General features: G+C 54.9%; 1 protein-coding gene across 11 annotated transcripts in view, besides 4 other annotated features; it reads right to left on the bottom strand.

Moving 5' to 3' along the window:
• LRP5 (LDL receptor related protein 5) overlaps positions 4,184–23,721 on the bottom strand; it is a 150,864-nt gene continuing 131,326 nt past the window's right edge. For 4 of the 11 annotated variants that reach the window (XM_011545029.2, XM_005273994.3, XM_017017735.2 and 1 more), the window contains 7 exons: positions 19,621–19,857; positions 16,460–16,570; positions 14,777–15,013; positions 13,543–13,682; positions 7,773–7,886; positions 6,926–7,023; positions 4,184–4,650 (listed from right to left, as the gene is read on the bottom strand). In XM_011545029.2, coding sequence (XP_011543331.1) covers positions 4,389–4,650; positions 6,926–7,023; positions 7,773–7,886; positions 13,543–13,682; positions 14,777–15,013; positions 16,460–16,570; positions 19,621–19,857 — 1,199 coding nt within the window. In that variant the 3' untranslated portion in view covers positions 4,184–4,388. Of the gene's footprint in view, positions 4,651–6,301; positions 6,533–6,925; positions 7,024–7,756; positions 7,887–13,542; positions 13,683–14,776; positions 15,014–16,459; positions 16,571–19,620; positions 19,858–23,721 lie in introns of those variants that run through there. The other 7 variants (XM_011545030.2, NM_002335.4, NM_001291902.2 and 4 more) reach the window with 5 other exon arrangements.
• Positions 5,272–5,875: an enhancer, noted in NCBI's record as "H3K4me1 hESC enhancer chr11:68215052-68215655 (GRCh37/hg19 assembly coordinates)". NCBI's record gives its function as "activates a minimal SCP1, AML or CMV promoter by ChIP-STARR-seq in primed H9 embryonic stem cells {active_cell/tissue: H9 hESC(primed)}" and the evidence as "EXISTENCE:reporter gene assay evidence [ECO:0000049][PMID:30033119]".
• Positions 5,876–6,480: an enhancer, noted in NCBI's record as "H3K4me1 hESC enhancer chr11:68214447-68215051 (GRCh37/hg19 assembly coordinates)". NCBI's record gives its function as "activates a minimal SCP1, AML or CMV promoter by ChIP-STARR-seq in primed H9 embryonic stem cells {active_cell/tissue: H9 hESC(primed)}" and the evidence as "EXISTENCE:reporter gene assay evidence [ECO:0000049][PMID:30033119]".
• Positions 6,139–6,208: a silencer, noted in NCBI's record as "silent region_3672". NCBI's record gives its function as "represses an Ori minimal core promoter by ATAC-STARR-seq in GM12878 lymphoblastoid cells {active_cell/tissue: GM12878}" and the evidence as "EXISTENCE:reporter gene assay evidence [ECO:0000049][PMID:35858748]".
• Positions 6,481–7,084: an enhancer, noted in NCBI's record as "H3K4me1 hESC enhancer chr11:68213843-68214446 (GRCh37/hg19 assembly coordinates)". NCBI's record gives its function as "activates a minimal SCP1, AML or CMV promoter by ChIP-STARR-seq in primed H9 embryonic stem cells {active_cell/tissue: H9 hESC(primed)}" and the evidence as "EXISTENCE:reporter gene assay evidence [ECO:0000049][PMID:30033119]".

Genomic DNA, 23,721 nt, shown 5'->3' with positions numbered 1-23,721 from the left:
ATCTAACTGTATTTCTGTACCTGTTAACCATCTCTCCTCCACCTCACCCCCCAAACCCACTACCCTTCTCAGCCTCTGGTAACCATCCTTCTACTCTCTATCTCTATGAGTTCAATTGTATTAATTTTTAGCTCCCCGGCCGGGCATGGTGGCTCACGCCTGTAATCCCAGCACTTCAGGAGGCTGAGGCAGGTGGATCACGAGGTCAGGAGTTTGAGACCAGCCTGGCCAACATGGTGGAACCCCATCTCTACTAAAAACACAAAAATTAGCTGGGCGTGGTGGTGGGCGCTTGTAGTCCCAGCTACTTGGGAGGCTGAGGCAGGAGAATCGCTTGAAACTGGGAGGCAGAGGTTGCAGTGAGCCAAGATTGCGCCACTGCACTCCAGTCTGGGTGACAGAGTAAGATTCCATCCCGAAAAAAAAAAAGTTTAGCTCCCACAAATAAGTGAGAACACGTGAAGTTTCTCTTTCTGTGCCTCGCTTGTTTCACTTAACATAATGACCTCCAGTTCCATCCACGTTGTTGCTTTGTTATAAATGACAGGATCTTGGTCAGGCGCAGTGGCTCATGCCTGTAATCCCAGCACTTTGGGAGGCTGAGGTGGACTGATCATGAGGTCAAGAGATCGAGACCATCCTGGCTAACACAGTGAAACCCCGTCTCTACTAAAAATACAAGAAATTAGCCGGGCGTGGTGGTGGGCACCTGTAGTCCCAGCTACTCAGGAGGCTGAGGCAGGAGAATGACATGAACCCGGGAGGAGGAGCTTGCAGTGAACTGAGATTGCGCCACTGCACTCCAGCCTGGGCGACAGAGCGAGACTCCGTCTCAAAAAAAAAAAAATGTTTGGTAAAATTCAGCAGTGAAGCCATTTGTTCCTGGGCTTTCTTTGTTGGGAAACATTTTATTACAGTTTTCATCGCATTACTTGTTATTGGTCTGTTCAGGTTTTTGTTATTTTAATTTTTTTGAGATGGAGTCTGGCTCTGTCGCCAAGGCTGGAGTGCAGTGGTGCAACCTCGGCTCGCTGCAACCTATGCCTCCCAGGTTCAAGTGATTTTCCTGCCTCAGCCTCCCGAGTGGCTGACATTAGAGGCACCCGCCACCACGCCCGGCTAATTTTTATATTTTTTCAGTAGAGATGGGGTTTCACCATGTTGGCCAGGCTGGTCTCGAACTCCTGATCTCAGGCCTTCCAAAGTGCTGGGATTACAGGCGTAAGCCACCGTGCCCGGCCTGTTCAGGTTTTGGATTTCTTCATGGTTCAATCTTGATAGGTTGTATGTGTCTAGAAATTTACCCAGTTCTTCTAGGTTTTCCAGTTCATTAGCATATAGTTGCACATAGTTGCCTCTAATGATCCTTTGAATTTCTGTGGTATCAGTGGTAATGTCTCCTTTTTAATCTCGGATTTTATTTATTTGGGTCTTCTCTCTTTTTTTCTTAATCTGGCTAAAGGTTTGTTGATTTTGTTTATCTTTTCGAAAAAACTTTTTGTATCATTTTGCATTGTTTCCTTCATTTCCATTTCATTTATTTCTGCTCTGGTCTTTGCTTTTTTGAGACAGAATCTCACTCCAGTTACCCAGCTAGAGTGCAGGGTGCATTCATGACTCGCTGCAGCCTCCACTTCCTGGGCTCAAGTGATTCTCCCACCTCAGCCTCCCAAGTAGCTGGGGCTACAGGCACACACACATCACCACATCCAGCCTATTTTTTTTTTTTCATATTTTTAGGAGAGATGGGGTTTTGCCATGTTGGCCAGACTGGTCTCAAACTCCTGAGCAGGTAGGAGTTGAGCCACTGTGCCCATGAGCCTGGCCTGTTCTGATCTTTATTATTTCTTTTCTTCTACTAATTTTGTGTTTGTTTTTCTCGTTTTTCTTTTCTTTTCTTTTTTTTTTTATGACAGGGTCTCGCTCTGTCACCCAGGCTGGAGTGCAGTGGCACCATCCTGGCTCACTGCAACCTCCACTTCCCGGATTCAAGCAATTCTCCTGCCTCAGCCTCCCAAGTAGCTGGGGCTACAGGCACACATCACTACTTCCAGCCTTTTTCTTTTTTTTGTTTTTTTGTATTTTTAGGAGAGATGGGGTTTTGCCATGTCGGTCAAGCTGGTCTGAAACTCCTGGCCTCAGGTGATCTGCCAGTCAGGCCTCCCAAAGGGCTGGGATTACAGGTGTGAGCCACCACACCTGGCCTAGTGTGTTTTTATAGGTAAAGTGTGTTTCTTGTATGCAAGAGATGGTTGGGTCTTGTTTTTTGATCCATTCATCCACTCTTTTTTTTCTTAAGACAGGATCTCACTCTGTCGCCCAGGTGGGAGTGCAGTGGCTCCATCTTGGCTCACAGCAACCTCCGCTTCCCAGCCTCCAGTGATTCTCCTGCCTCAGCCTCACAAGTAGCTGGGATTACAGGTGCGTGCCACTACCGCCTGGCTAATTTTTGTATTTTTAGTACAGATGGGGTTTCACCTTGTTGGCCAGGCTGGTCTTAAAACTCGTGACATCAAATGATCCATCCGCCTCAGCCTCCCAAAGCGTTGGAATTACAGGCGTGAGCCACCGCTCCTGGCCCACTCTTTTGATTGCAGAGCTTAGCCTATTTACAGTCAATGTTATTATTGATAAGTGGGGACTTACTCCTGCCATTTTGTTGTTTTCTGTTTGTTTTGGGTCTTCCATCCCTTCTTTTAGTGAAAGTGATATTTGTATTTTGTATTGCTTTTTTTTTTTTTTTTTTTGAGACAGAGTCTTGCTCTGTTGCCCAGGCTGGAGTGCAGTGGCACAATCTCGGCTCACTGCAGCCTCCGCCTCCCAGGTTCAAGCAATTCTCCTGCCTCAGCCTCCCAAGTAGCTGGGATTACAGGCGTGCACCACCACGCCCGGCTAGTTTTTGTATTTTAGTAGTTGAGGTTTTGCCATGTTGGCCAGGCCGGTCTCAAACTCCTGGCCTCAAGTGATCCACCTGCCTCAGCCTCCCAAAGTGCTGGGATTACAGGCATGAGCCACCGTACCCAGCCTATATTTTGATTATTAAATGCACTGTCACCCAGCAACAAGCTTGACTGTTTTCTGACCTCCCTCCACCATGCTGAGGGAAGTCAGGCCCTTCTCCACTGATGCGATGTGCATTTTCTCCCTTCCCTCTGAAGACGGCTGTTCCCGCCTGGCCTTCAGGACACGAGAACAGCTCAGCTTCCCCACCGAAAATGCCTAGATTACTGTCTCCTTCCACGGACTGGGGACCCTGCAGAGGCAGTGACCAGGCCTTGTCTGTCTTCTCCAGCACCGCAGGGATGGGCCCACAGCAGGCGTCAGGTGTGGCTTGCTGACTGTTCCTGTGAGGACCCAGGGATTCCCTCCCTGCCAGGGGCACGTGGTGTGGCAGAGTGGGCTCAGCAGCCCCATCCAGCGAGTCAACACGCAGTCATGGGGCTCCTTGCCCTCAGGAAGAGCAGCAGCCTTGGGCTGGCACAGAGAGGTCAGATGGAAGCCAACACAGGTTCAGAAGAGCCCAGAGCCCAGGCATATATTCTGCAGGGCCCAGTGAAAAATGAAGGCACAGTCCCCTTCTTAAAAGTGACTAAGAGTCAGCTGGGTACAGTGGCTCATGCCTATAATCCCAGCACTTTGGGAGGCCGAGGTGGGCGGATCACGAGGTCAAGAGATCGAGATCATCCTGGCCAACATGGTGAAACCCCATCTCTACTAAAAATACAAAAATTAGCTGGGCGGGTGTGGTGGCGCGCACCTGTAGTCCCAGCTACTCGGGAGGCTGAGGCAGGAGACTCACTTGAACCTGGGAGTCGGAGCTTGCAGTGAGCTGAGATTGTACCACTGCACTCCAGCCTGGATGACAGAGAAAGACTCCGTCTCAAAAAAAAAAAAAAAAAAAAAAAGACTAAGAATCTGAGGAAGACGAACAGCAACAGCGTGATGAAGCCCAGGGCCCTTTCTGACGGCACAGGCCACACGCACATAAAGCCGGCCCGGCCTGCAGCTCAGGGATGCATCCCAGGGGAGATATCCACCTCTGCCCAAGGCCCCAGCCCTTCCCTGCAGGAGCCGGACAGAGGGACGCCCGGGTGCAGGAGGACTCTCATGGTGGTCCGGGGGTCGGCATTCCCTCCACGGGGACACACAACTCAAATGCACACAGGGCACGAAAGAATGGCAGTTCTGTTTTACAAAATTAAGTTTATAAATATTTCTCCACTGTACAAAGTTCTCCCAGCCCTGCCCACCCCATCACAGTTCACATTTCTCATGTTTTTAAAATCCCAATTATATTTATTTTTTAAATCATAAAATATATTTTTTTCTTTGTTCATATTTAAAACTATTTACAGGGGCACAGAGAAGCCAGAGTGGCCCGGCCGAGGTCAGGATGAGTCCGTGCAGGGGGACGGAGGGGGCGGGAAGAGATGGAAGTAGCTCCTCTCGGTGGCGGGCGAGGGCGGGCAGCTGTCCTCCGCCGACAGGTACTGGCTGTGGGGCGTGGGTGGGGGTGGATAGGGGTCTGAGTCCGAGTTCAAATCCAGGTAGTACTTGCTGGCCTTCCAGCGGCTGGCGCTGTAGTCGCTGTCACACACGTCGGTGCTGCAGGGCGTCGTCGGGGGCGCCATTCCTCGAATGATGTAGGGCCTGAAAGGGACACACACAGAGGAGTGGGATTCGGTAGGCACATCCGCCCTGGTGGGCACAGCAGCCCCGGGGCTGTGAACGGGAAAGGCCTGTCCACTGGCCAGCTCCAGAAGATGCAGGCCGGACTCTGGACCCACCCCGCTGTGTCGCCAGGGCTCATCACTTACCCTCTCTGAGCCTCAATGGTCCCACCTCTACCATGGGCATGCCCGCACCTGCCCTGCAGCCTGCCAAGCCTGGGCCCTGGCAAGGCTGCCTCTAAGGAGAACGAGGCCTCTAGAGCCTGCTAGCTGACCTTGGCCAGGAACTTACTTGACCTCTTCGAGCTTTAGTTTCTCATTGATAAAAGTGGGGATGAAATAGTACCCATTTCGAAAGTGAAGGATACATGAGATTCTGCCTGGAAGGTGCTAGAAACAGTGTCCGACAAAACAGGAGACTGGACAACTGTTCACCTAACACTGTTACTGTAAATGTTGGCAACCGATAGGGTTTGGCTGTGTCCCCACCCAAATCTCATCTTGAATTGTACTCCCATAATTCCCACGTGCTGTGGGAGGGACCCAGTGGGAGATGATTGAATCATGGGGGTGGTTCCCCCCATACTGTTCTCGTGGTAGTGAATAAATCTCACTAGACTTGATGGTTTTACAAGGGGAAACCCCTTTCGCTTGGTTCTCATGCTGTCTGTTCCCTGAAGCCATGTAAGATGTGACTTGCTCCTCCTTGTCTTCTACCATGATTGTGAGGCCACCCCAGGCAGGTGGAACTGTGAGTCCGTTAAACCTCTTTCCTTTACAATTACCCAGTCTTGGGTATGTCTTTATTAGCAGCGTGAGAACAGGCTAATACAGCAACCAATGGGCCCGGAACACTTCCATCCTGAGTTCAAGCAACCTGACTCGCAAGATGGCTCCTGACCTCCCATCCTCCCAGAGGCTACCTGCACCCAACTGTGGCCCAGAAACGCCGCATCCCACTGTGTGAGTTCAGACTCGGAACTGTGGTGTGTTTAGGAGCCCCCGTCCTGTCACAGAGGGGCCTGCAATGGGTGGGAAGGTGCAGCCAACACCGGGTGTTGAGAAAAGTGCAGCAGGACAGGATACTCCTCTTGGGGCCCAGCTGCTGTGAGGTCAGACGGCGGGCGGGGGGAAGATGTGTCCGCGGTGGGCCCAGAGCAGGACGGGCATGAGCAAAGGCAGGAGGTGGGACGAGGAACTAGCGAGACTGGGCTGCCCAGTGTGGATGTGACCATTCTGGAGACAGTGGTCTGTAAGGCTGTGGGACAGACTGTGACAGTTTGATATAATACTGAGGCATCAGGGAGGTGGCCCGACCCGGAGTGGGGTGGAAATGGAGGCTGCAGTTCCGGCTCCCCAGCCAGGCCTGGGAGTTCGTGGAAATGGCCACTAGGTGGCAGGCGGCACCACACTCGGGAGGCCCTGCTGCTCCAGGGACCCAAGCAATGAGGAATGCGTGGTCCAGAGGTGTCCTGGCCCAGGCCCAGCCTATCCCACCCCTTCACCTGCGGGGGTGGGGCCTGGTGCGGCTGGCGGGTGGGCCACGTTGCCTGACACCACTGGGTTAAAGGTCAGGAGGCTCACCCTGCCCATCCCAGGCTCTGATCCAGCCCCTGCGGAGACCAGCACACCTGGGTCCCACCTCTCCACACTCTCAGTTGCCCCTCCCCAACCAGGGAGGTGGGGCCTGTGACCCCAACATGGGCAGCTCGGGGGGCTGGTGTCCAGCTGAGCAGCCCCGTTGGCTTCCCGGGCTCAAACAGGCCACTGTGGCAAGTGAGCAGCCCGGACCATCCTGGTGACGTCACACGATTAGGGGTCTACGGTGGGTGCTGCAGCAGCCTTCACAGACTTGTCCCATCCTAAGAGGACAGAGCCACCAAGAGGGGGCATCTCAATGGCTAGGTTTCCACAGCCGGACTCAAACACACAGTCAGACTCTGGAGCCCAAGCCCCCGGCCCCTCGACGCCACAGCCATTTCCCAGCTTAAAAGTAACCCCCATAGGAGCAACTTGAAGAGCAGCTCAGAACGTGGAGTTCTGCTGATTTCTGAACCCAACATGCAGTGCCCGCTGAGCTTGTCTGGGGAGGCAGCCTAGTGTGGTTGGCAGAGCAGAGGGAGGCAGGGCTGGGCCCGGCACCTGCCCACTAGCACCCAGAATACCTCCCCTCATCAGTGGCATGGGGATTAGGCCCCTCCACCACGGGCTGGCGGGAACCCAATGGCCATGGAGGGCTGCAGGGGATGTCCTACCTGTACGGTCTCGCAGTGGCCGGAATGTTTGAAGAGTAGAACATGTCCATGTTGTACAGGGAGGGGTCCGTGGCCGGGGAGGGCGGCGGGTTCAGGATCTGAGGAGAGCCAAGCCAGGGTGACTTAGAGCCTCGCCAGCCTGGGCATTCCTTCCTTCCTCCCACACCCCTCGGGCTTTCCTTGCAGAGAGGGCTTCTGGCCCCCCTGCTTCCCAGGACCCCTTCCTCTGGCCAGTTGGCAAAACCTGGGGACAGGAGGGGAGGCAGCAGCCACCTGCCCCGAAGGTCATCTCAGTGAAAGGCAAAGGGAACCCAGGCACTTTTGGCCCAGGTGCCCGCGCCCTTCCAAGTACCTGCCTTGTGACCAGATGCTGGGCTGTGAAGGCGGGGACAGGACTTCGGCCAGTTCCCTTTGTGGCTGGCCCCCAGCAGTAGGAGATGTCCCCACAGGCCCTGAGTGTCCTCCACACCAGTTAGCACCTCACCAGGCTCCTCAGGGACCTTCCCAGGAACTCTCCTTCTGACCTTTCCTCCTGCCCCTCCTCCCTCCATCACACACAGTCTAACTCCTGCAATGACGCCCTTGTTCCGAACACTCAGGGGCTCTGCGTCCCTGCTGAAGCCCTGACACAGAAGTCACCACGCTGAGGGAGGGGCCACAGTCCCACTCCAGACAAAGGCACCCCCTTCACAAGGGCCTGTGCTGGCACCAGCCCCAAAGCGGGGATAGTAAATAGACAAATTCACCACGTGAACGTGCCCCCCAGGTCCAGGCAGCACACAACCAGCCCTACAAAGGGAGGAAGGGACCAGGGGCCCTGGGCCCACACACCCACACAGGTCTGCACCTTCCACAAGTGCCACTGACGGCACCCCAACCCAACATGCAGCTTCCCAAAGGGTGTAGGGCTTATGTGGGTCTCCAAGGCCATCCTGGAAAGCATACAGCCAGATCCGAGCCCCTGCGGAATAATGGGAACAGAACTGTCAGTTATGCCCGAGGGACTCAGTTCTCTCAGGCCCCCTAGGGTGGTACAAGAACACTGCCTTTCACGCCAGACAGACCCGGGTGAAGTCCTGTTTTACCACCTTCTGGCTGCAGCAGGATCCCTGGGGAGGGAATTTACCTCAGCCTCAGTTTCTTCAACTTTAAAATGGGCTTGACCTAGCACTTTGGGAGGCCGAGGCGGGCGGATCACTTGAGGTCAGGAGTTCGAGACCAGCCTGGCCAACATGGTGAAACCTCATCTCTACTAAAAATATGAAAATTAGCCGGGTGTGGTGGCGGGCACCTGTAATCCCAGCTACTTGGGAGGCTGAGGTGGGAGAATCCCTTGAACCCTGGAGGCAGAGGCTGCAGTGGGTTGAGATCGCACCACTGCACTCCAGCCTGGGCAACAGAGTGAGACTCTGTCTCAAAAAATAAATTTAAAATTAAATAAAATAATAAAATAAAGTAATAAAATGGGCTCGAGAAGGCCTGCTTCCTGGGGCTATCCTGATGGCTGGTGAGTAGCCTCTGGGGAGTGGCCAGGCCCTTCCCCTGCCCTTTAGGAAGCCGCACTGGGCCCTGCTCTTTCTGGAGAGGGTCCTCTTTGGCCCAGAGAGCCAGTCTGGGTATTCCTCAGGATTTGACCCCAACGTTGAGAGGGCATGAGACTGGGGGCACTGGGGAAGATGCTTCAAAGCAGAGAGCAGGCAGGGAGGCAGCAGAGAGGGCTTCCTACAGCTGCCCAAGCCCCAGCCTATGGGGTCTGTTTCCACCTCTTCCCATGAACTTGACCAGGCCTGGTTTCTCTCCTACATCCCAAGGCAGTTTGAGATTCTGCCCAAATCTGCACTGGGCAGACTTCTGGCAAGATCCACCAGTGCAGCGCCTCGGCAATGTCTCAGATGTCCCGTGAACCACGGCCAGGCCCTATTCAAAGAGGACTGGATCTCGGCCCAGGGTGGGGGGTGGGGGGTGGGGGCTGGGGAGGCCACTCGGCTCATCTGCTATTCCTGCGTTGTTGTTGTTTTGACTGAGTCTCGCTCTTGTTGCCCAGGCTGGAGTACAATGGCATGATCTCGGCTCACTACAACCTCTGCCTCCCAGGTTCAAGTGATTCTCCAGCCTCAGACTCCCGAGAAGCTGGGATTACAGGCATGCGCCACCACACCCAGCTAATTTTTTTGTATTTTTAGTAGAGATGGGGTTTCACTATGTTGGCCAGGCTGGTCTCGAACTCCTGACCTCAGGTGATCCACCCGCCTTGGTCTCCCAAAGTGCTGGGATGACAGGTGTGAGCCACCATGCCTGGCCTATTCCTGCATTCTTAGAGTTCTCTGTACATCTCACTGTTCAATTTCTGCTATTCCAGTCCCTGGTAATAAGCCTGTAGACGGAACTTTCTCTGTTCAAATTCTCATAGAGTTTCTGCCTCCTGATAGACCCCGACTAATTCACGCCACCCATAAGCCATCAGCCAAGAAACAAGCTGGATGCCCACCTTGCTCATCAAATCTAATTACATCCCAGAAGAATTAAAGATGTGAACGTAAAACGAAAGGAGGAGGACGTTAAGAAAGAGAGTGTGGGCTGGGCATGGTGGCTCACGTCTGTAATCCCAGCACTTTGGGAGGCCGAGGTGGGTGGATCACCTGAGGTCGCGAGTTCGAGACCAGCCTGACCAACATGGAGAAACCCCCGTCTCTACTAAAAGTACAAAATTAGCCAGGCATGGTGGTGCATGCCTATAATCCCAGCTACTCGGGAAGGTAAGGCAGGAGAATCACTCCAACCCGGGAGGCGGAGGTTACAGTGAGCTGAGATTGCGCCACTGCACTCCAGCCTGGGCAACAGGAGCAAAACTCTGTCTCAAAAAAAAAAGAGAGAGAGTGTGAAAATAAGTTGTTTTTTATGATCAGAGCAGGGAAGGCCTTTCTGAACATAACCAAAAAAAAAAAAAATATATATATATATATATATATATATATATATATATATATATGCCATAAAAGAGGAGATTGATAATTTCTTTTCTTTTCTTTTTTTTTTTTTTTTTTGAGACAGAGTCTCGCTCTGTCGCCCAGGCTGGAGTGCAATGGCGCGATCTCGGCTCACTGCAACCTCCGCCTCCCATGTTCAAGCAATTCTCATGCTTCAGACTCCCAAGTAGCTGGGATCACCATACCCGGCTAATTTTTAAATTTTTACTAGAGACGGGGTTTCTCCATGTTGGCCAGGCTGGTCTCAAACTCCCGGCCTCAAGTGATCCGCTCATCTCAGCCTCCTAAAGTGCTGAGATTACAGCTGCAAGCCATCACGCTGGGCCCAAAGGTTCTTAAACACACAAAATGATGCTTACATCATTCATGATAAAATAAATATAAATGAAGATCTTAACATGATACCATTTTTACTCTATATTAGACAGGTGGAGAGAAAGGGTGCCAGGGACCGTTTTGCCAGTGTGGCCCTCTGCTGAGAAAAGATGGACTGTCCCTTTCAGAGGGCCACTTGGCAGGAGTGGTTGAAACAGCCAAGGTTCAACCGCAGCAGGAGAGAGGACCATGATGCCCTCCAGTGGGGGCCCAGCCACGCCTGACAAGGAGTGCTGTTCAGCCACCAAGAATGTGACGGCTGTGTCCTCAAAACAGAACAAACTTCAGGGTGCGGGGGAAGCAGAGTAGAAGGTGGTTGTGAGTTGGATGGCCTGGCCCCACTGCCTACCAACCGAACGACCCAGGCCAGTGGTTCATGCTCAGTTCTTCAGCCTCCTTGTTGCAAAATGAGGAAAACAATAGCACCTCCTCCCGGAGATGGGTTACGGTAGAGCTCTAGGCAGGGTGCACACGGCAGCTGGGAGCCTCCGAAATGCTCAGAACAGCAGCTTTTATACATCGTTAGCAGCAAAAGGCAAGGCTCAATGTTGACTCTTCAGATGCTATCTTTCGGGCTTACGAAAACACATATGTCAGCCCAGGCGCAGTGGCTCATGCCTGTAATCCTACCACTTTGGGAGGCTGAGGCAGGAGGATCACTTTAGCTCAGGAGTTCAAGACTAGCCCAGGAAATTTAGTGAGGCCTCACCTCCACAAAAAATTTAAAAATTAGCCTGGCATGATGGTGCACACCTGCCATCTGAGCTACTTGAGGGGACTGAGGCAGGAGAATCGCTTGAGCCCAGGAGTTTGAGGCTGCAGTGAGCTGTGATTGTGCCACTGCACTCCCACTGGGTGACAGAGGAAGTTTGTCTCAAGAACAAACAAAAAACACTTATGTCAATCTGAATAAGGTGAAAGAATCGTTATCAGTGTCTTGCTTATGATAGGAATGGAAGTCATGCAAGATGGCAGGCAGCACTGGGGGAAACCAGGCAGAGGATAAATGGGTCTGTGCTCTTTCTCACAACTGCACATAAATCTACAATTATCTTCTGGCTTGGAAAACAAAGTCCACGCTCTTGTATGCTTGCATATGTACAGATGACCCCTGGGGGGACATAGAAGAAACACACTGCAGGAGGCCATGCCTCCCAGGGAGTCCTGCTTGGCGTCATGGGGGCGGAGTCTCTTTGGACTGCAGACTCTTCTGTATCTTTTGAATTTTGTACCATGAACATATATTTAAAGGATGCAAAATAACTTTGCTAATTTAAAAACAGCTGGCTTCATGCAGAGTTTCTTTTAGGGGCAGGAAAATGTTCTAAAATTAACTGTGGTGAGGGTTGCACACATCTGTGAATACACTAAAACCCACTGAACTGTACCCTTTTTTAAGTGGGTGAGTCATATGGTTAAACAATAAAGTGATTTAAAAAATTAGCTGGCTGCTCAGTGCCATCTCTTATTGCCTGATTAAGATCCTCCCAGCTCCCAAGGGAGAACAGGAAAAGAGAATTCGTGAGCTGCCTGCTGTGTGCTCGGGGGCCCTGCTTGGGTTCCTAGCACTCCTGGCTGGTTAAGCTGGGTTGCAGCAGCAGGAGCAGGGAAGAAGGGCAGTGGGTGTTTAAACTCTCGGCTTCTGGTTACCAGTTCCCTTTGTCCCTAAACAAAGCCAGGCCCTGGGGCCTCCAGAACACTCAGTTACTGTCCAGGAAACCAAGAAGAACCCTCTTCTGCTACTTCCTTCCCAGGGCCCACCACAGTCAGGTGCCATAAGAAGACAATACCCCAGGCCAGGCACGGTGGCTCACGCCTGTAATCCCAGCACCTGGGGAGGCCGAGGCAGGAGGATCGCTCGAGTCCAGGAGTTGGAGACCAGCCTGGGCAATATAGTGAAACTTCATCTCTACAAAAAATGTAAATATTAGCTGGGCATGGGGATGCATGCGTGCAGTCCTAGCTACTTAGGGGCTGAGATGGGAGGATTGCTTGAGCCTAGAAGGTAGAGGCTGCAGTTAGCCATGATGACACCATTGCACTCCAGCCTGGGTGACAGAGCGAGACCCTGTCTCAGAAAAAAGAAAAGAAAAGAAAAGAAAAAGGCCAGGTGCGGTGGCTCACGCCTGTAATCCCAGCACTTTGGGAGGCCAAGGTGGGCGGATCACCTGAGGTAGGGAGTTCAAGATCAGCCTGACCAACATGGAGAAACCCCATCTCTACTAAAAATACAAAATTAGCTGGGCGTGGTGGCACATGCCTGTAATCCCAGCTACTAGGGAGGCTGAGGCAGGGGAACTGCTTGAACCTGGGAGGCAGAGGTTGCGGTGAGCCTAGAGATCACACCATTGCACTGAAGCCTGGGCAACAAAAGTGAAACTCCGTCTCAAAAAAAAAAGAAAAAGAAAACAAGAAGACAAGACCCCAGATGTGAGGGATACCCAGAAGGGCAGGAGGAACCAGCCCCAGCAAGGTGGGGCTCACTGGCGAGGCCCCAGAGGAAGCAGAAGGGGGCTGGACTCACCTTAGGGGCATACAGCTGCAGGAACAAATGAAAAGCATACAAAGCATGTCAAGTCAGCCCCCGCTGTTTACACTCAGGAGTTCACATCTCGGCACCAAGCTCGCCTTGGCATCCTGGGACTGTGCTCCCAGAAACGGGGGTTCTCCCCAGCCAGCCCCAGTGATCCTGGAGGGCAGCGGCAGTTTATTCTCCTCACAGTCATTTCACTCAAGGCGTGGCTCAGCTGGAGCCAGCCCCTCACCCTGCCAAAAGCTCCAGGGAGTATTTTAGCCACGAAAATCACCCTGTGTTTGTCTGTCATGCACAAAACCATCCAGCTGTTTTCCAGGAAGCAGCCAGCCCTGGGTGGGAGAACAGGGTGTTTGTGGAGGGAACCCTGTGGGGAGGCTCACAGAGGGCAGACAGGCCTGGTGCAGGCGGCTATCGATGGGCTGGGCCGTGCGGAACACAGACGGCCGCCTGGATGCTGACGGAGCCCAACAGCCACTCTAGGAGGTGGATTTGGGTGAGATTTTGGCTCTTTATATTTTTGTGTAGTTTTCAGATTATCCACAATCAACAATGTCATTAAAGAAGGAAGCAGAAGGGTTTGAAAAGGGAAGAAAGCAAGCATGCCTCAGAGGCGGTGGCACAGCCCCCAGGAACCCGGGAAGCCTCCGGTGGCCAGCACTGACGGTGGGAGGGGCCCACAGCCCCATCCCGCCCCGCCCCTCCCCGGCCCCGCCCCTCACCGGCGGGTACAGCGTGGCCTTCGTGCTGGACGAGCTGCTGGACGAGGCCCCTGTGACGTGGTTCCGGTCGTAGAGGGGCACCCCGCCCCGGCCCCCCATCAGGCTCACGGAGCTCATCATGGACTTTCCGCATGCGATGCCTGGCAGGGAAGGGACGGGGGAGGTCAGGTGGCTTCCAGGCTCAGCCAAGCCGCCCCACAGACATAGGGCGCTCTCCTCTGCTCCCACTACCCACGAGACTCAGACCAGGGCGGTGTGTCCTGTTGGAAATGTGCCCCGCTCCCTGAGCCGCAGGCCTCTCTGGCCACTACTAGAGTGAGCTCCCCGGGGCTCATCTGTGAAACGGGAGACACATGGTACCTCCTCCAAGGGGCCTGCGACTGGGGCAGGGAACCCAGGCGGGGCAGCACAGAGCACGCCAGGAACAGACAGGGCCGCGTTCTCTGGGGGCTGCTGCGACTGTGATGGTGCCACCACTGTGGGCTCCTAGGAGCTCTTGAGAAGCCAGATAACCCCGCTCCCCAGAGAGAATCAGGTTACATCTATACCCTGCCATCCAACAGGCTCCCAATGAGGCCGGCTTGGGGTGACAGTGGGACAGGACAGGGGAGAGGGAACTCAGGGCTGGGCAGGCAGAGGCAATCCTCAAGGTGGCCTGGAGCTGTGGGGGCACCTGCAGACCTCACAGGGACTCCACCTTCTTAGACATACCATGGTCACCCATGTGATACAAACCAGCATGGTGCAGCTCTGCGGTGCGGCTGCCCAGCCATCTACAAACACAGCCTGCGTTCCTGGTGCCTGGGCCACGTAGGAATTGTAACTGCTCAGCCACAAATCCCAGCTGCACTCAAGACAAAGCTGCTGTATGGTACAGAGTGATTCCTTCAGCTCTGGAGAGAGCCCAGCCGCCCCCACATTCATTTCTAGGGTACATGAGGATTTGTGGACAACACAGCACATGTCCTACTAGAATATGAAGGTCAAGTCCAAGGAGCTTTCTCCACACCTACAGTGCCAAAGGGTGGGTTGCTACAGCCATGCAGGCCTCTGTGTTGAAGGATTCTGATGCCAAGCACAGGCTCAGTGGGAAAGGCTGAATGCTGTGATCGATTAGCAATGTCTGCCACATGTGCAAGAGGGCCTGGGGTAGCACATCCCTGCTCCACTCCCCAAAGCTGCCCAGACTACTCTCCTGCCTCCTCCAGATCATTCCATATCTCAGGCTCCTTACCTGTGAAGGGGCCATGCTGGGAACCGCCCGGGGCTATGAAATTGAGGGGCACGTGCGGGGTCCCGCTGACATACTCGTGCGGGAAGGGCCCGTTGGCCCCCGCATAGCGCTGGCACACCACGCGCTGGCACACAAAATAGACACCACCCATGACGAAGAGAGAGAGGATGATGCCAATGACGGGCCCGATGGCACTGCTGTGGGCCGGGCTGTCGTCTGAGGGCGGCTTGGTGATTTCTGCCAGAGACAAACAGAAAGAGGTGGCCAACATTAACCCCAACGGAATGGGCCCTCCTTGGGGGCAGACACCGTGCGCCCTGAAGGGGCTGGCTTTGCCACTGGTGGAGGGTGGGGAGAAAGTGGGGGAGCTGGGAGGCTAGGCCTGGGGAGCCTGGCCAACCTCAGGGTAACGTGGCCCTTCAGCCTGCACGGTGCACCCTCCTCCTCCTCTGACCCCCGCCGCTGTCCGACTCCCCACAGCCCTCAACACATCCCTGCCAAGGCAGCCTGGTATTCACTCCTTCGCCCAGGGCCCTCGGTGGTGGCAGAAGTGAGCGCGCCCTGGCCAGCCCAGGTGATGTTGGTGAACGAGCAAAGCCAGGCAGCCCCTGGTGCCGCCCACCAGCCACGGGAGGGGCAGGGTCGGCTGGGTGGGCTCCTTGGGCCACTCCACTATCAAGGCTGCCCATAGGGAAGTTTCCAGGCTCCAGACTCAACTTTGGCAAAAGCCACATTCACTCTCCCACAGGGCCGGCCCAGCGATCCTGAGGGCGTCGATGAAGTCAGCGGAATGGAAGCGTGCGGGCTCTGGCGGCGAGGCCTGGCTGCGCATCAACAGCGCCCCCACAGCTGGGGCCCACGGCACAGGCCCGTCAGACTGGGAACTTGCCCAGCAGAGGAGGCGACCCTTGGTGGCCCCCACCACTGCCTTCAGGCCTCAAGCCTGACCTGGCACGAAGGTGCCAAAGGGCACAGGGAGTCCCTTGAGGAAGCCCCCTTCTCCCCCCAACAGACTTCTCTCCCGACTGCAGCCATAAGAGAGGAGCTCTCAGCCCAGGTCCCTCTGCAGCGAAGGAGTGGCCATGTCCCCAGACACAATGACTCATTGCTACTTCCTATCTGAACTCAGCTCCCTTCCTGCCTGAATCAGACAGCCTTTCAGGAGCCACTGCCTCTGGAAAGTCTTCCCTGACTGTCTTGGCCTCCTATCCCCTAGGCCCTATATCCGTGACTGTACAGGTCATGCTATTTGAGGAGCATGTGGGATGTTGTCATGTACATGTGTGTGCACATGACATGTGTGCATATGTGAACATCACTCCTCCTCAGCCAGACAGTAAGCTGCCAGGGAACAGGACCACTGCAGCCCTCGGGTAATCTTGCTGCCTGACAGACGCTGCTCAGCAAGGTCCCGTGGGTGGGTGCGTGCTGCAGGCACCTGGACACCATCAGCCCCGCCCACTGAGGCAGACTCTGTAGCCGCCGAGCCCACAGCTCACAGTCTGTCCTCCTGGCCGCTGCCCTGGGAAAGGCTTCCCTGCCTCCCGCAAGGAGCCTCCCAGCCGCCTGAGTCTCCCACACAGCCCCCAGCCCCGCTGGAAAGGCACGTCTCCTCCCCTAAACTCCACGTTCCTGGGGGAACCCAGCCCGGACGCCCCTTCCCCGTGCCAGAAGCTGGCTCACCACACATGAGCTCGTCGGAGCCGTCGATACAGTCGGGGAAGGAGTCGCACTGCTGTTTGATGAGGACACACTGGCCGCTCGCACACCGGAACTGGTTGGGCAGGCAGATGGCTGCAAGGAGAGGCCATGCACTCAGAGAGGCTGGAGGGTGCCCCCCAGCCCACCATGCAGGGCACAGCAACCAAGGTCTGGACTCCAAACAGAGAGCAGACAGATGGGACCCTTTCTAGGACCAGCGGGGAGTGGTCTAGTACAGTCTCCACCCACCCTCGATGACCCTGTGGCGAGGCCTATGCCACGCAGGGGAGGGACTGCCAGGGCTGAGACCTCAACGCACCTCCTGCCTGCCCCCCAGGAGGTATGTGTCAGGTGCCTACTGTGGGGAGGTCTACGCCATGCAAGGAGTAACAGACCCCGCCCAAGGCTCTACCAGGTTGGTGGGGGGGTGGGTGCCAAGGACAGGAATGGCCACGAGGAGCCTCGCCTCCCGAGAGTGGGGGCTGTGGAAGGCAGTGGTGCTCAGCAGAGCTTGAGGGGAGGGGAGGGGAGGGAGCACAACCCACTGGAGGTGCAGGCAGCCCACACGGGAGCAGCACAAGGCCACAGTCTCTGGCCAGGGAGGAAGAGCAAGCCAGGGCGCTGACGGCTGCCTCCACCCCTCCCCAGACGCCCACCCAGAGGGAGCCATAGCCACGCCTGCCCCCAGAGAACTTGCTCAGTTCCCCACCTGCCCTGCCCCCGGTGTCCTGCCCTGGGAATGGGAGATAAGGGGACCCTGTCCTTGTAATGGATGGGATGATTTTCTGGTAACCAAGCAGGGAAGAAAGCTTCTGGAACAGAGCATGCAGCCAGAACCGGCGTAAGGGCCTGCCACCAGCACCGCGGGGCACACGGGAGGAGAAGCTAGAGCGGGACGAGGGGGCTCAGATGGCTCCAACGTCTGCCCCTCCAAATCTCAACGGAAATGTGACCCTCACTGGGCGCAGTGACTCACATCTGTAATCATGGCACTTTGGGAGGCCGAGGTAGGTGGATCACTTGAGGCCAGGAGTTTGAGACCAGCCTGGCCAACATGGTGAAACCCCATCTCTATTGAAAATACAAAAATTAGCCGGGTGTGGTGGTGTGTGCCTGTAATCCCAGCTACTCGGGAGGCTGATACAGGAGAATCGCTTGAACCTGGGAGGTGGAGGTTGCAGTGAGCCAAGATCATGCCACTGCACTCCAGCCTGGGCAACAGAGCGAGATTCTGTCTCAAATAATAGAATAGGAATAGCATGGCATGGCATGGCATGGCATAGCATAGCATAGCATAGAACAGAATAAAATATGACCCCAAGGTTGGAGGTAGGGCCTGGTGGGCAGTGTTTGGGTCATGGGAGCAGATGCCTGGTGCCCTCTCCGCAGTAGCAAATGGGCTCTCACTGTGAGTTCACATGGGAGCTGGTTACTTAAAGGAGCCTGGCATCTCCTCTCAAGGTGAGGGCAAGAGGGAGAGGCGCTCTCTCTCTCTCTCCGTTGCTCCCTCTCTCACCATGTGATGCACCTGCTCCCGCTTCGACTTTCACCATGAGTCAAAGCTTCCTGAGACCTCACTAGAAGCTGAGCAGATGCGGGTGCCATACTGGTGCTGCCTACAGAACCATGAGCCAGACAGACCTCTTTCCTTCATAATCTACCCGGCCTCAGGTGCTCCTTCATAGCAATGCAAAATGGACCAACACAGGGACAATTCCTAACCACGGCTCCTGCAAGCTGAAATCACACACACAGCACATGCTGGGCCAGGATGCGCAGCAGGGCTGGGGAAGCTCTGTCTGTCAAGGGCCAGACGTGAGGTCTGGGGCTTTGAAGGCCGTAGGTCTCCAGCATAACCACTCAGTTCTCTTGCTTTTGGCATGAAAGCAGCCACAGACATTGTGCAAATGAATGAATGGGCATGGCTGTGCACCAAGAAAACTTTATTTACAAAAGTAGGTGGCAGGCTGGATTTGGCCCCTGGGCCCTTAGTTTACCAGCCCCTAGTCTACAGCCTCCATAAAATTCTCCAATGGTCAATGAGCTGGAAGGACTTAACCACTATGCCTTTATAGAAAAACATGCAGGGAGGTTACTCCCAGGCCCTCATCTTCTACGAAATGTCTGCTCTTTGTGAATGAGGACGTAGGACAGTGGCCAGACTGCATGTGAATTATCTAACAGAGCCGGTGGCTCTGGGAGAGCGAGGGCATCAACAGCTCCTCAGCAGTCCTGGGCCCATGGTGCTGACAACATGTGGCAGGCAACCAACCAAGCAGGTCCTTCATAAAAGGAAAACTCAGGCCGGGCGCGGTGGCTCATGCCTGTAATCCCAGCACTTTGGGAGGCTGAGGCGGGCGGATCACCTGAGGTCAGGAGTTCGAGACCAGCCTGGCCAACATGGTGAAACCCTGTCTCTACTAAAAATACAAAAATTAGCCAGGCATGGTGGTGCGCACCTGTCATCCCAGCTACTCGGGAGGCTGAGGCAGGAGAATCGATTGAACCCTGGAGGCAGAGGTTGCAGTGAGCCGAGATTACACCAGGGCACTCCAGCCTGGGTGACAGAGCAAGACTCTGTCTCGAATGAATGAATGAATGAATGAATGAATGAATGAATGAATGAATGAAAGAAAACTCACAGGGGGCACAGAAGAGATGTGTTTCACTGTCAAGATCTAAAGGAAGATCCTGCTGGTCAGAGAGGGCCCAGGATGCCTGAGCAAATCTCTTTATACCTCCTGATTCTACATGTTGATAGAAACCACTCAGGCTTAAGCACTATCCCACAGACTGGTCAGTGGAGACAGCACTGTCTTTTGGGGGCGGATTTTCCAGGGTGTGAGCCATGGACCTCTGCAGCCCACCCCTGAATGTGCCTCAGGTTTCTGTGAAACTCCTGACCTAATGCAGGAAGGTGAGATAGACCCTCACAGTCTGCCTTCAAGCCACACTACCTGGTGGGACAGGATGGGTGGAACTGCAGAGTTTTCCTTGTTGGGCCTAAAAGACAGACTTGGCAATCTCCCTGCAAGCAAAGGTTTTCAGAGCCCCTACTCCTGTGAGGCCGGAGGCAGCCCCAAGCTCGTATCCCGGAGGGCAGGGCCAGGGTCTTGGCAGAGCCTTGACGGGGAGGGCCTCACCGTCACAGTCCGCCTCGTCTGAGCGGTCCTGACAGTCTGCCTCGCCGTCGCAGCGCAGGCGCAGGTCCACACACTGACCCCGCGCGCAGGGGAACTGGGCGGCGGAGCACACGGGGCAGCCCTCCTCGTCGCTCTGGTCATCGCACTCGGGAAAGCCGTCACAGCGCCAGGCCCCGGGGATACAGTCGATCTCCCCTGTGGCACATGCAAACTGGTCCGGGGAGCAGGTGGGCGGCTCTGGGGGAGGGACAGAGGAGAACATCACACGCAGCCCCGCCCAGCAAAACCCAGGCAATGGCGTGACTGGGCTTCAAAGCAGAAGTTGAGAGGGACTCAGCGCGGGTTTGGCATCCCTGCTGTACGGGGTGCTGCACCCGCACATCCTCCATCGCTGCGGCTCCTGTGTGCCGCTCCACCTCCAGCCCCAACCCAGAAGAGAGGCTGGGAGAATACACATTCACTGCAAGAAGACATGCATCCGTATGTTTTTCAATGCAGAAGGGAAAGGGTGCCAACTGGGAATCAGAGCTTTAAGCAGCAGGCGCTACACCAAATACAGCAGAAATGCTCCGGGTGGGAAATTCAGCCCTGACTGGAGCAGTCCTTCCTCCTCCCGGCAACACACATCTGCTCAGCCACGCCTGAGTGCCCACTGCGCCCTCCTCAGGACCAGAGGGGCAGAAAGCAGGTGGTCAGCAGCCACACCTGTTGCGGGTGTGGGACTGCTACAGAAGAAGGGCCAGGCCTCTGTGGTGACCAGCGTGCGCATAGCAAGGCAGGAGCCGGCAGAGGACCTGTCAGCACGTCCCAGGCGCCTGCAGAAGACGGGACAAAGCACAGGCAGGAGGGCTGAGGACACCCCCGGGGAGGGCGCTGAAAGGGAGGAGGGAGAGGATCATCGGAGGGTGGAGGCCACTTCCTACGTGTGACCATGGAGGCCATCCTGCCCCTCGGGGCTCCACGTCCTCAGTGCGGGCTGGGCATGCGGCAGCACTCAGGGAATAGCAGAGTCCCATGGGCTGGGGACACAGACACAAAGCGTGGGGGCACTGGCACAGAGAAGCCAGAGGAGGCCTAGGCTTCGAGGTGGCCCCCCATTTCCTAGGACTCCTCCCTCCCACTTTGTGCAGAAAATCACAGGAAACAGAGGCTGGCCTCAGGAGGGGATGCTGGGAAATCGGCCCAGGCCTCACTGAAAGCTGAGCAAAGCCCCCGCCAAGCTGAAATCTGATCAAGGTAAAAAACATCGGTTTCAAGCTGTCATGCTGCACGCAAGCCTTTGGATGTTTGGAACCCGCAGGCCTTCCCCATGACTACTGGGCTCACCCGAGTGACAGGGACTGTGTGGCATAGGGGAGGGGGCCTGATCAAAGACGAGAGTTCTAGGGTAATAAAAGGAAGCAGCTGTCCCCACTGGGCTCAGCCACAGGAGGACGTGCCAGGGTCAGCCCACGACGGCTGAGAGGAGCCAACGACAGATGTCTGCAAGCCGTGCCTGGCCATGGGGGACACGGAGGACCGGTGGCTGGAGGTTGAGGGCGACATGGGGCAGACCTGAGATGGAGCCCAAGTCTCCCTCAGCAGTTGTGAAACCGAGCAGCCTCTCAGCCTCCCAAAGCCTCCGACCTCGACTCTCAATCAGAAGCAGCCGCTGGGCACCACAAGCTCCTGTGAGCTGTAACTGGGACACTGGGGCCAGAGCCAGGGGCGCGCCCGGCTCAGGGAAGGGCTGAATGGCGGTGGTGATGGCACTGCTGAGGTGACTGTGGCCGCCTCTTGCCCAGCCTGGCTCCTGCCACTATCAAAGGGTCCATGTCCGAGACCTCAGTGAGGCCCTGTCCTTCTGTGATCTCCCTGGAGAAGAGGCCACAAGAGAATGACAAGCACCTGTGCGGTAAATACACGTCTCTCGAGCCGTGAGGAAGGGGCCTGGAGTTCCCGAGCCAGGAGGGCCAGGGCCCAGGCCAGGGGGTGGTGGATGGAAGGGCATGGCCTCTGGCATGGAGGCCCAAGGCTGCAGTTAGTGCAGCGTTCTGACGGCCCCGTTTCTTGGCCAGGGCAGTTCGGGCATCAGTGGGAGGTGCACAGACACCGTTGGGTTGCAAATCCACCTGAGCTTTTGGGCTGTAACTTGGAGAAAAGCTGCTGGGAAGCTCAGGAGGGGGACAGTCACAAAATGTCCCCTCTGCTTACGGCCAAACTCGAGGTGTGAGGCAGCACCCCGCGGCCCTACTCCCCGAGCTCCTGGGCAGGAGCCAGTCTCTCCAGGAACAAGACAAACTGCTAAAAACAACCGGCACTCCGGGTGTGGTGGCTCACGCCTGTAATCCCTGCACTTTGGGAGGCTGAGGTGGGCGGATCACCTGAGGTCAGGAGTTCAAGACCATCCTGGCCAACATGGTGAAACACCATCTCTACTGAAAATACAAAAATTAGCCGGGCGTGGTGGTGGGAGCCTGTAATCCCAGCTACTTGGGAGGGTGAGGCAGGAAAATCACTTGAACCCAGGAGGTAGAGGTTGCAGTGAGCCAAGATCACACCACTGCACTTCAGCCTGCGCGAAAAAAGCGAGACTCCATCTCAAAAAAAAAAAAAAAAAAAAAAAAAGGGTGCACAGCCAGTGTGTGCTGCTGTCTGTAGGATGAAGCTGAACCCCCAGGAACTCCCACGGGAGAAAGGTCGCTGAGCAGAGCACAGAACCAACAGGATCCAAGGCCACCTGGAGGCATGGGGGCATAGGAGAGAAAGCCCTGGACAGGCTTCACTGTGGTGAGGATACAGATGGTCACTTTATTACTACTGCCACACCCATGGCATAGCAGCTGGCATTCCTGTGCATCACGTGTCAGGGTCCAGGTGGAGTGCCCTGTTACTTGATGCCCATGACAGCCTGCCAGGTAAGTGCTCTCAATTTCACAGAGGAGGAAGTGGAGGCTCACAGAGATTCAGGCACCAGCCAGGGTCACTCAACTGGGAAGTGACAGAGCCAGGATTTGAACCCTGGCCTCTTTGGCCCTAAAGTCCAGGTTCTTCACTACCCCACTCTCCCACCACTAACACCAGGAAGCCCTAGGGGGAGAAGAGGATCAAGGGTAGAAGGAGAGAAAAAGATAGAACTACTAGGAGAAATAAACAAATCCACCATTAGAGTTGGAGACTCCACACCCCTGTCAATAACTGACAGCTCAAGCAGGCAGTCAGGAAGGAAGGATAGAGACAACCTGATGAGCACTATTAACCAACTGGATCTAATTGATGTTTCTGGAACACTCCACCCAACAACAGCAGAATCCACATTCTTTTCAAGAGTACACAGAACATTCACCAAGATAAACTGCATGATGCTGGGTGATAAAACACACCTAATGGCCAGGCACAGTGGCTCACGCCTATAATCCCAGCACTTTGGGAGGCCGAGGTGGGCGGATCACGAGGTCAGGAGTTCGAGACCAGCCTGACCAACATGGTGAAACCCCGTCTCTACTAAAAATACAAAAATTAGCTGGGTATGGTGGCGTGCACCTGTAATCCCAGCTACTCAGGAGGCTGAGGCAAGAGGATCACTTGAACCCGGGAGGCAGAGGTTGCGGTGAGCTGAGATCGCGCCATTGCACTCCAGCCTGAGTGACAGAGCAAGACACTGTCTCAAAAACAAAACAAACGAAGCAAAACAAAACAAAAAGACACAAAAACAATAACAACAAAAACACCACACCCAACACATTTAAAATAACAGAAATCATATAAAATAAGCTCTCAGACTACAGTAGAATTAAATTAGAAATCAGTTGCAGAGAGACAGCTGGAAAAGCCCCAACTCTTTAGAAACTAAGCAACACTTCTAAATAACACATGAGCCAAAGATGTCATCTCAGGAGAAGTGTAAAAATATTCAAACTACCTGAAAATGAAAATGTAACAAAATTTGTGAGATGCAGGAAACGCAGTACTTAGAGGAAAATTCATAGCACCGAATGCACATAGTAGAAAAGAAAGGAGGGCAAAGGAAGACACAATCAGCTTTGGAAACTGGATGCCACAGGGACTGTGATTTTAAAAGGATGCCAGGCAGCAGCCTAGCAGGCAGAGAATCAGGTACCT

The sequence above is a fragment of the Homo sapiens genome, chromosome 11 (genome assembly GCF_000001405.40).
Source record: "Homo sapiens chromosome 11, GRCh38.p14 Primary Assembly".
NCBI lineage: Eukaryota > Metazoa > Chordata > Mammalia > Primates > Hominidae > Homo > Homo sapiens.
The sequence above is the reverse complement of the archived record's forward strand: the minus strand, read 5'-3'. Positions and strand labels throughout refer to the sequence as shown.